Below are 10,980 nucleotides of genomic sequence, written 5' to 3'. Positions count from 1 at the left end.
TGATTAAAGTTAGGCTGGGCGCGGTGGCTCATGCCCATAATCCCAGCACTTTGGGAGGCCGAGGCAATGGATCACTTGAGGTCAGGAGTCCGAGACCAGCCTGGCCAACATGGTGAAACTCTGTCTCTACTAAAAACACAAAAATTAGCTGGGCATGGTGGTGGGCACCTATAATCCCAGCTACTCGGGAGGCTGAGGCAGGAGAATAGCTTGAACCCGGGAGGCAAAGGTTACAGTGAGCCGAGATCGTGCCACTGCACTCCAGCCTGGCAACAGAGCGAGACTCTGTCTTAAAATAAAATAAAATAAAAATAAATAAATAAAGTTAAATAAGGCCATTCGGGTGGGCCCTAATCCAATACAACTGATGTCCTTATAAGAAGAGACACCAGGGATGTGTGAACAGGGAGGAGGCTGAGTGAGGGCCCTGAGAGAAGGTGGCCTCTGCCAGCCCAGGAGAGAGGTCTCCGGAAAAACCAACCCTGCGACACCTTGGTCTTGAAATTCCAGCCTTCAGAACTGTGAGAAAATGAGTGTCTGTTAAGCTCCCCATTCTGTGGCACTTTGCTATGGCAGCCCTAACAGACCAATACATCTTTCTTTGGGCCTTTATGACTTCATCCATAAATACCTCCCTCCAAGAGGCTGTTTTGTGGATTAAATAAAATGATGCAGAGTAATCGCTAACCAGGGCCAGGTACTCCTGAAGCTCACATTATGTTGTCTCCTGGCCTTGGGTCAGGCCCCCCAATTTTCCCAGTCGCAGCTCCCTGGGGGCAGAGGCATCCAGATGACAAGTGCTCCAGATAACCCCTCTCCTGCTCTCTGGGGGCTCACGAGGGCTCGCCGGCCTCTCCTGACAGGTGAATTCCAGCATTGGCCTCAGGATGGAGGGCCTGGCACACACGCGCAAACACACATTCACACATGCATGCACACATATAAACGTTCTTACAGCGGCTCCCTCAGTCCGGCCCACTGGCAAGCTCTGTCCCCTTCCTGGGAAGCAGGCATCAGAACCCAGAGCAGGGCAGGTGCCTCATTTACCCTCTGAACCCCAGCTCCACCCCAAGCCTGGGCCATACCTGGCCCACAGGGTGGTTGGGGAAACAAAATCCCCTAACCTTTCCCACCAGGCTTATGAGCCTGAAGATGGGTTTTGAAGAATGTATGGACATCTGCCAGCACCTGTGAGACTGCATAGGCCCAGCAGGTGGCAGGGTGCTGCTGGCCTGAGAGCTGGGGAATGAGGCTGTGTTGCCCAGGCCAGCCCAGGACCGACGGGAGCTTGGAAGCAGAGGAAGAGTGCTGTCTGCATTGGCAGGGATTGGGGTGAGGGTGGTGGGGGGCAATCTGGGATCATGGCTGGGTGTCCTCACCATCTGGGTATTTGCCTTTTATTCAACATTGGTGACGCCAACCTCCAGGACCAGGATGCATCTGGCACCACACCTTGCAGCTCCCATCGTGCTGGCCCAGGTCCAGAGTCTAACAGGTGTTTGTTGACTGGCTGAGTGAGCTGGTTGGTGCCCAGGAATTTAACTCAGCCCATTCCAGCTGCCATTACCTGGATGCCCAGCTCAGGGCCACTCATGCTGGTGCTCCACATGAGCTCTGCGCTGGTTCTCAGGGCCTCGCAAAGCGCTGACCTGTGGGAAGCACTCATGAGTACCTACTTCCAATCAATGCTGAGGACACAGACACAAATGGTGCAACTCTGGTGGAGAAAACAGAGGCCTCAGCTGGGTGCAGTGGCTCACACCTGTAATCCCAGCACTTTGGGAGGCCAAGGCAGCTGGATTACTTGAGGTCAGGAGTTTGAGACCAGCCTGGCCAATATGGCAAAACCCCGTCTCTACTGAAAATACAAAAATTAGCCAGGCGTGGTGGCGGGCGCCTGTAATCCCAGCTACTCGAGAAGCAGAGGCAGGAGAATTGCTTGAACCCGGGAGGCAGAGGTTGCACAGTGAGCTGAGATTGAGCCACTGCACTCCAGCCTGGGTGATAGAGCAAGACTCTGTCTCAAAAAAAAAAAAAAAAAAAAAAAAAAAAAAAAAAAAAAGGAAAGCAGAGGCATCGGTAGATAGTTACAATTTGATGGTCTCTCTCTTGTGAGACAGACAAGTCCAGGGGGCTGTGGGAGCATGGTTGGGCCAGACAGACCATGGGAGGACTGTCTGGCCCAACCTGGGGAATTAGGAAAGGCTTCCTACCAGCCTGGGCAACATGGTGAAACCCCATCTCTACAGAAAATACCAAAAATTAGCCAGGTGTGGTGGCACCAGCCTGTAGTCCCAGCTACTTGGGGGGCTGAGGTGGGAGGACTTCCTGAGCCCAGGAGATGGAGGCTGCAGTGAGCCCTGATCACACAACTGTACTCCCTCCAGGGCAGCAGAACAAGATGAGACCCCGTCTTAAAAAAAAAAAAAAAAAAAAAAAAAAAAGCTTCCTGGAGGAGGTTGGATAGGAGTTGACCAGGCAAATACTACAGGCAATGGTATCCCTGGGAGAGGTGACAGATGGTTCTGATCCTAAGCTGGGGATGACGGGAGCCAAGGATGGTGGGAGGCTGACGGGCCGACAGGGGCCAGGGTCCCAAGGGCTGAGGGTGCTGAGGGTGGCTGAGAGTATGCCACAGGTTCTGGCAGAGGACAGGATCCCCATGGCAAAGAGGGGGTCTTCTGAAGCCACCCGGGAAGGAGGTGAGGCTGTGAATGCGGGGCTGGCTGTGCAGAGCTCCAGCCCCTTCAGAAAAGATGTCATTTTCAAAAGGGCTTTTATTAAATTCTCCCCACACGATGGCTCCTGCAATCTGCCACAGCTCTGGGGCGTGTCCTGTAGGGAAAGGCCCTGTTTTCCCTGAGGCGGGGCTGGGCTTGTCCATGGGTCCGCGGAGCTGGCCGTGCTTGGCGCCCTGGCGTGTGTCTAGCTGCTTCTTGCCGGGCACAGAGCTGCGGGGTCTGGGGGCACCGGGAGCTAAGAGCAGGCTCTGGTGCAGGGGTGGAGGCCTGTCTCTTAACCGACACCCTGAGGTGCTCCTGAGATGCTGGGTCCACCCTGAGTGGCACGGGGAGCAGCTGTGGCCGGTGCTCCTTCCTAGGCCAGTCCTGGGGAAACTAAGCTCGGGCCCTTCTTTGCAAAGACCGAGGATGGGGTGGGTGTGGGGGACTCATGGGGAATGGCCTGAGGAGCTACGTGTGAAGAGGGCGCCGGTTTGTTGGCTGCAGCGGCCTGGAGCGCCTCTCTCCTGAGCCTCAGTTTCCCTTTCCGTCTAATGAAGAACATGCCGTCTCGGTGTCTCAGGGCTATTAGGACTTGCCCTCAGGAAGTGGCCTTGGACGAGCGTCATGTTATTTTCACAACTGTCCTGCGACGTTGGCCTGGGCACGTCATGGAATGGCCCATGTCCCTCTGCTGCGTGGACGTCGCGGTCGGGAGTGCGCAGCCAGAGGCGGGGCCAGACGTGCGCCTGGGGGTGAGGGGAGGCGCCCCGGGAGGGCCTCACAGGAAGTTGGGCTCCCGCACCACCAGGCAGGGCGGGCTCCCGCCGCCGCCGCCGCCACCACCGTCCAGGGGCCGGTAGACAAAGTGGAAGTCGCGCTTGGGCTCGCTGCGCAGCAGGTAGCCCTTGATGCAGTGCGGCAGCGCGTCGTCCGCCAGCTGGAAGCAGCGCCCGTCCACCAGCACGAACAGCCGGTGCGCCTGCGGCCGCTCCACCGCGAACTTCTCCGCGCACTGCGCGCACAGCGCCTGGGCCTGGGTGTCCGCCCGCGACGCCAGCGTCCGCGCCTGCTGCTCGGGCTCCAGGTACGACACGCAGATGAAGTCCTGCGGAGACGCGAGGGGCCTGTGGTCACGGCGGGGCCCTGTCTCCTCAGGCGCCCTCTCCCGGCCCAGGCCCCTCCCTGGATGGATAGCGGGTGGCGGGCGCCAAGCTGTCTGCGAGTCCGGCACCTGCGCCTTTCCCGTCTCTGCCGCGAGCCTGCGGGGGGCCCGTCCCCCTCCCTGCCTGGCTTCCCAGCTGGGCCGACAGTTCTGGGAGATGAATTAAGGCGCGTCTCGGAGTCCCTGCAAAGAGGAGCCGGCGCGTCCCCTGGCTGCTGGTCCACAGGCTCCCCATCATTCATTCATTCATTCATTCCCTCCCTCCCTCCCTCCAGGTGAGTTCCCTGCACCCCAGGCGCAATGCTGGGCACGGAGGGCAGCACAGATAAGAAGGGAGGTGCGAGCCCGCCCGGGCATCCCATAGTGCGGGCGGGCAACACAGTCCAGCCCCTTAGGGCTGCAAGAGCCCTGGGGCTCTGAGGAGCTGCGTGGGGCAGGGATTGGTAAAGCGGGAGGGGACCGGGTGAAGGAGGCTGGGCGCAGTCGGGTGGGGAAGGCCCGGCATGAGCAGGGCGGGCAAGGCGAGGCGACGCCTGCGGGCTGGGGCTGGGCACTCGCAGCACGAGCAGGGCGCCCGCCCGCCGTCCTCCACCCCTAGGGACCCAGCCCCACACCTGCCGGGCTTTGCCTTTGCTCCCACTGCCTGTGTGGCCTTGATTCGTCGAGCCCCGGCTGTAAAGTGGGGATAGCGCCCGCCTCCCATAAATGGGCGAGCAGGCGCTGGAAGCTCCGGCCCGGAGCGGCCTCGCCTTCCCCGGGGCTCAGGGCTGCAGGCAGAGAGGCTGCGCGCGGGGCTGCCCCCTTGTGGCCGGATTGGGAACAGCAGGCCTGCGCGGGAAGCGGCTGAGGATCCCGGCTCGGCGGAGACCGTGATGGCAACTGGTGGCTAGGGCTTAGGCGAGGCCGGGCTCCTGTCAAGAGCTTCACGGGGACCGCCCATTTCTTCCAGGAGGGGAAAAGCCCGGCCCACTCCCTCCGTCTTAGTGGCTGCCTCAGGGCTCCTTGTCCTCCATTAGGCCTCCCAGGGCACTATCCACCTGCTAGTGACTGTCCAGCTCTGGGCTTCCCCTCCCCAGGGAAGGGTGCCCACCCCCCAAGGCATGGTGTGCGGAGGAGGCACTGGGAGGGGGCAGAGGGTGGTGCCCTCCCCAGATCCCAGATGTGGTGCTGAGGGGACCCCCCTCCGAAGCTTCCGTCTCCCAAACAGTGGGTGGTCCGTTTCATCCATACTCTGCCTGGCTCAGCATCAGGAACCCCTAAGGTAGAAGCAGGAAGTACGGGATGCCTGGGCCAGGCTTGGACCAAGAGTGTCCATGTCCCTACAGTCTGTGGGAGTCCGGGGTGTTGGGAGGGGATGGGAACAGAGGTGTGCTGGAGCTGGCTCACACCCGCCAGGGAGAGCCGACTGCATACACTTCTTTCCAACTCCACATTCAGTGATGCCAAGTTGAAGTTGGCCATGGAGGACTCACACCATGGAAATGGACAGAAGCTAAAATCAGAGCTTTTGTTTTCTCCCCAGAGAGTCAGTTATTAAATTGATTAGCCATAGTCAGCCTGTGTGGGCAGGAAAACTGAGTCCCAGAGTGGGGCAGGGATTGCTGAGGGTCACACAGCAAGCTAGTACAGGGCTGGGGCCAGAACTCAAGCCTCCTGTCTCCCAGGCCTGGGCTCTGCTTATTATAGATGCACCATCTTGAAAGCCAGGAGTGTGGCTCAGGACTGGTCTGCTCTGGGTGTCAGAGGAGTGAGTCTGCATAGCTGCTCACAGCTCTGGATGTGCCTGGCTCACTAGTCCAACTCTCACCCTTTTTTACACACCCAGTCCTGCTCTGTCCCAGGCCCTGGGCTTGGCGCCCCTGAGGCATGTGAACCATGGGCTGTGCCCTCCCAGAGGTGACAGCTTCATATGCAGAGGATGATAGGATGTGATATGCACTGTAAAAGGGGAGGCCGCAGGAAGCCCAGAGGAGGGCACCCCACCCAGCCTGTGTGAAACGGTGTGTGTGTGTATCAGGGAAGGCTTCTCAGAGGAGGGGCTGTTGGAGAAACTGAGTCGTCTTAAAGGATGGGCAGTGACAGCCAGTGAAGAAGGGGAGATTGACCAGTGAGGGCAGCGGTTGAGCAGCCAGTGAACTGGGCTGGGCATGTTTGGGGAACTGGGGGCAGCTGGATTTGATGCAGCCTGGGGGTGGGTGGGGTGATGGAGTTGGGGAGGGGCGGGACTGGTTTGAATACTGAGTCTGTATAGAGAGAGGTATGGGGAGGGGTGGGCCACTGGGTTGGTGGGGGTTACGCAGACCCTTGGCAGCTGCTGCATTTGTCCAGGGACTAAGGAGCAAGGCTGTAGATGAGCCTGTGGGCTCCTTAAAGCAGGGACTGGGATGACAAGTCCCCATCTCCAGCCCCTGCAGGGTGCTGGGTCCTAGGAGGGGCTAAGGAATGATGGGTGTGTCTCATTCCTCCTGCACCCTTCCTGCTTGCCCAGGGAGAACACCAATGCCTGCTGATATGTTTCTAGACGCACCCAAGTCCTGGACACACACTGGCAGCAGGGGCTGGGGGCCCTTCCTCTGGTGTGGGGAGTCTCACTGCTCCCCTAAGGCAGGGCTGGGCGGCTGGAGCAGCCAGGTGATGTCACGGCTCCTTAGCCAGCAGGCAGCAGGGATGGTGTCTGGGACATGGCCCCACCGGGCCCCTCCCGCTCTCAGGCCTCACCTGTACGGAGGAGCGGGAGGCCCGGGCCTTGTTGAGAGTACGCCGGCGCTCCCAGCGGTGGATGGAGTCCTGCACCTCCACACTCAGCTGCCGGGTCACCGTGATCTTGTCGTAGCTCTTGATGTGCTCCAGGGCCCCGTAGGTGGTGGTCAGATAGTAGGAACCTGCGTGGACAAGGGTGTGGAATCTGAGCCAGGACCGCCTCCGCCCACCAGAGGCAAGGAGCTTGGCCTGCCCCACCCACCTCCTCCAAGCCCCGCCCACCACCTCTGCTTGAGGCACATCTGCAAACACCTGCTTCAACAGCTGAGCTCAACCCCACGCCCACCCTCCAGCCTCAGAAAGTTTCCTAGAGTCCAGCCCTGAGCTGTCTGGGCCCTGCTCAAAACTTTTCACTGGCTCCCCTTGGGGACGAAACTCTTGCTTATTTAAAAAATGATTTTTAAAACAATAAAAAATTTAAAGGATACACAAGAAACAGAAACCTCAGTGTGGGGAAAGGGGTGGCCAGGAGACAGGGTGGGCAGGAGACTTCTCACTGTGTGTGTATCACATATACACGGTCTCTGAGTTACTATGGTTCCATTTATGATTTTTTGACTTCATGATGGTGTGAAAGTGATACACATTCAGTAGAAACCATGCTTCCAGGACCCATATAACCAACCTGTTTTTTACTTTCAGTAAAGTATTCGATACATTACATGAGATATTCAACACTTTATTATAAAACATGCTTTGTGTGAGGTTTTTTTTTTTTTTTTTGTCTAAGTCTGGCTCTGTTGCTGTGTTGCCCAGGCTGGAGTGCAGTGGCGTGATCTCGGCTCACTGCAACCTGCACCTCCCACGTTCAAGCGATTCTCCTACCTCAGCCTCCTGAGTAGCTGGGATTAGAGGCGCATGCCACCACGCCTGGCTAATTTTTGTATTTTCAGTAGAGATGGGGTGTCGCCATGCTGGCCATGCTGGTCTTGAATGCCTGACCTCAGGTGATCCGCCCGCCTCAGCCTCCCAAAGTGCTGGGATTACTGACATGAACCACCATGGCTGGACTGTGTGATTGATTTTTGACACACACACAATAGGCTTTTTGATGCCTTTGCCCAACTGTAGGCTAATGTAAGTGTTCTGAGAACATTTAAGGTAGACTAGGCTATGATGTTCAGTAGGTTAGGTGGATTAAATGCATTTCAACTTAAGATATTTTCAATTTATGATGGGTTTATTAGGACACACCCTCATAAATTAAGGAACTTTGATATGCTTTAGAATTTTGAGCCATGTGAATGCATTATCTATTCTAAAAATAATTTTTAAGAAGAGAGGAAATTTTAATTATGGTTATACTATTACATGCAATTTTTAAAGATTTTAAATAAGTATAAAATTTGAATCATTTATGTATCCATTTCTTAAGTTAATTCACACATAGCTCACTGGAGCCTCCAACTCCTGGGCTCAAGCGATTGTAGGCTGATTTTTACATTTTCTATAGAGAAGGGGTCTAGCTATGTTGCCCATGTTGGTTTGAACTTCTGGCCTCAGGTGATCCTCCTGCCTTGGCCTCACACATATTCTTAATACACAATGTTTCCTAAAGTAATTTAAGCTTTGAGATACTTCAGACTGCAAAATTTTCATGAACTTTTAAGATAAAAGGCAATATTTTACACGATGCTTACAAATTCATTCTCCTGAGCTTGTTTGGGACTTTGGTTAAAAGGTTTGAGAAATACTAACTTTGGTAAGCTCCTCATTTTAGAGAGAGAAAACCGAGTCCCAGAGAGGGAAGGTGGCTTGGCCAAGGTCATAGAGAGATCAAGGGCCCAGAGGAGGGCAAGGAGACCCTGGAAACCCTGGTCTCTCGGGTCCCCAGCGCCGCCCACCTCCATGGTGCTTCCTTGGGCTTTCCCACCACTGCAAAGGCCTTTCTGCCCAGCCCTTCCAGTGCCAGGATGACGATTTTTTTCTTCTTTTTTTTTTTAGATGGAGTTTCGCTCTTGTTGCCCAGGCTGCAGTGCAATGGCGTGATCTAGGCACATTGCAACCTCCGCCTCCCAGGTTCAAGCTATTCTCCTGCCTCAGCCTCCTGAGTAGCTGGGATTATAGGCACGCACCACCACGCCTGGCTAACTTTTTGTATTTTTAGTAGAAACGCGGTTTCACCATGTTGGCCAGGCTGGTCTCGAACTCCTGAGCTCAAGTGATCCACCCGCCTTGGCCTCCCAAAGAGCTGGGATTACGGGTGTGAGCCACCATGCCTGGCCAGGATGATGATTTTTGACATGAGGCAGATTCTGCTAGTGCCCCACTCAAATCGCGTCTGCCCCTTCTACCTAATTGAACTGTGCTTTTATTTGGGGAAGTAACATCAACTGAAATGCTCACTTCCCTGACTCCCTTGCAGCTTGGGTAGAGGCAGGAGACTCTGCTGTGGCCCCTTAGATATAAGTGGAAGGCTGGGTGGGGCTTCCAGGAAAGCCTTTGAAAGAGACAGACTCAGTGGATGTATCCCTTTGGGTTTCTGCCTGTCACCCTTCCTTCTGCCTGGAACCCAGACGCATTACTGGGGGCACTGCAGCTGTCTTCTGATCACAGGTGACAGACACAAAGCCAAAGGCCCCACATGCTAAGAAAAGATGGAAAGAGCTGGGCCCATAGTTCCCTGGATGCAAAATGCCATCCTTACTAGGTGCTTCGCCTGGACTTCTTGATGCAAGAGACAAACCAATTCCTTGCTCTGACTTAAACCACTATTAGTTACTTTTGTGAGTTACGTGCAGCCCAAAGCATTCCTAGCTGTTACATTGGGTGAAGCTGGCCCACACATCTCCACCAGTTCTACAACCAATATGGGACAAGTTCACACCCTGGTCCAGTAGGTGGTGAGGCGGGGGTGGGTAAGATAAAAGGGTTTATGGCCACAGGATCACCCACCCTTTCATAGCAGTATAGAAAAGAGATGGCTGGGTGTGGTGGCTCACGCCTGTAATCTCAGCACTTTGGGAGGCTGAGACGGGTGGATCACTTGAGGTCAGGAGTTCAAGACCAGCCTGGCCAACATGACGAAATCCTGTCTCTACCAAAAATACAAACATTAGCTGGGCATGGTGGCACGTGCCTGTAATCCCAGCTACTCTGGAGGCTGAGACAGGAGAATCGCTTGAACCTGAGAGGCAGAGGTTGCAGTGAGCTGAGATCAGGCCACTGCACTGCAGCCTGGGTGACAGAGTGAGACTTCATCTCAAATTAAAAAAAAATAAAAATAAATAAGAGACATTTTTTGAAAAAACTAAATTAAAGCTACCACAGAGGTTGCCTTGGTGTCCCTAATAAGAGAAGAACCACTAAACCACTTACGTATCTCCATTTTAAGTTAGGTTTAAAGCCCCAGGCCAGGAAGTCGGCTCTGGTGCCCCCAGCCCTTGCTGCCCCAAGTCCACGTCCTCTACCTGGCATCCCTCAGTCGTCCTGTTTCCTGTCTGGCTTATGTCTTCCTGGCTGGGAATGGAAGAGGTGAGTGCAGTGTGCTGACTGCAAACCTTCAGTTTTGGAGTCAGAGAACAGGATCTAGGTCTTTGCTCCATAGCAGCCAGCCCTGTAATTCAGGTGAGCTAATGGCCTCTCTATGCCTCAGTTTCCTTATCTGCAAACATCATAAAGTTGTGAAAAGGAAATGAGTATGTGTAAAGTACAGGGCTTCGGAATGTGTGAATAACGCATGGTGGCTATGAGGCCTCAGGGAGGTGCTCTGGGGGTGTCTCACCCTCGCAGGTGAAAGGGGAGCAGCCACGCCCTACTGCTGCACTCTTGGTGCTGGAGTCTGACTTCTTCGTGAGGCCTCTCTCTCTGCCAGCCTTCCTCTTTGACTTGGGGCCATGAAATGCCTGCCAGGGCCACTAGGTGGCAGGCGGCCCTACCGTGAGTTCTGGAGCAGGCTTTTCTCTCTGGGGCGAATGCGTTGATTGGAAAAACCCACTGCCCCTGGAAAGACACCAGCCCGGCATGGCCAGCTGTCAGGCAGACTAGGGAAGGGACATGGGCAAAGGGGTCCAAGAGGGCACTTTTGGGACCAGCCTAGCCAGGATTTTAGCAGAGGTTAAGATTCTGGGCTGGCTCCAGCAAGGTGCCCAGCAGCTGCCTGGGTCACCTGTCTGTCCCATGACTTCACAGGGGCAGGGGGTGGGGGGAGTGGGAACACAAGAGAGAGGCTAGAAAGGGGGCGGGGGTCCCAGCAAGCTGGCACTCAGGCCCTTCCTTGCACAAGTCCCTGATGTCTCCTGCCCCACACGCCTGCTGCAAGGAAAGTAAGACCCCATGGCCCATCCTTTGCTAAACTGCAGCACGTGGAACAGGCTGAGAGAATTTGAAGGTCCC

General features: G+C 55.5%; 1 protein-coding gene across 2 annotated transcripts in view, besides 4 other annotated features; it reads right to left on the bottom strand.

The window, feature by feature from the left end:
* Positions 936-1,230: a silencer, noted in NCBI's record as "tiled region #11533; HepG2 Repressive DNase matched - State 13:Ctcf, and K562 Repressive non-DNase unmatched - State 13:Ctcf". NCBI's record gives its function as "represses a minimal TATA promoter and a strong SV40 promoter by Sharpr-MPRA in HepG2 and K562 cells {active_cell/tissue: HepG2 | K562}" and the evidence as "EXISTENCE:reporter gene assay evidence [ECO:0000049][PMID:27701403]".
* Positions 1,244-1,303: a silencer, noted in NCBI's record as "silent region_6038". NCBI's record gives its function as "represses an Ori minimal core promoter by ATAC-STARR-seq in GM12878 lymphoblastoid cells {active_cell/tissue: GM12878}" and the evidence as "EXISTENCE:reporter gene assay evidence [ECO:0000049][PMID:35858748]".
* RIN3 (Ras and Rab interactor 3) overlaps positions 2,760-10,980 on the bottom strand; it is a 175,214-nt gene continuing 166,993 nt past the window's right edge. For both annotated transcript variants that reach the window (NM_024832.5, NM_001319987.2), the window contains 2 exons: positions 6,604-6,767; positions 2,760-3,828 (listed from right to left, as the gene is read on the bottom strand). In NM_024832.5, the coding sequence (NP_079108.3) occupies positions 3,502-3,828; positions 6,604-6,767 (491 nt within the window). In that variant the 3' untranslated portion in view covers positions 2,760-3,501. The remainder of the gene's footprint in view (positions 3,829-6,603; positions 6,768-10,980) is intronic.
* Positions 3,596-3,890: a silencer, noted in NCBI's record as "tiled region #13986; HepG2 Repressive non-DNase unmatched - State 23:Low". NCBI's record gives its function as "represses a minimal TATA promoter and a strong SV40 promoter by Sharpr-MPRA in HepG2 cells {active_cell/tissue: HepG2}" and the evidence as "EXISTENCE:reporter gene assay evidence [ECO:0000049][PMID:27701403]".
* Positions 4,846-5,473: an enhancer, noted in NCBI's record as "H3K4me1 hESC enhancer chr14:93152626-93153253 (GRCh37/hg19 assembly coordinates)". NCBI's record gives its function as "activates a minimal SCP1, AML or CMV promoter by ChIP-STARR-seq in naive H9 embryonic stem cells {active_cell/tissue: H9 hESC(naive)}" and the evidence as "EXISTENCE:reporter gene assay evidence [ECO:0000049][PMID:30033119]".

Source organism: Homo sapiens, chromosome 14, assembly GCF_000001405.40.
Source record: "Homo sapiens chromosome 14, GRCh38.p14 Primary Assembly".
Classification (NCBI taxonomy): domain Eukaryota; kingdom Metazoa; phylum Chordata; class Mammalia; order Primates; family Hominidae; genus Homo; species Homo sapiens.
Note: the sequence above shows the minus strand (reverse complement) of the source record. Positions and strands in the feature narration are given on the sequence as shown.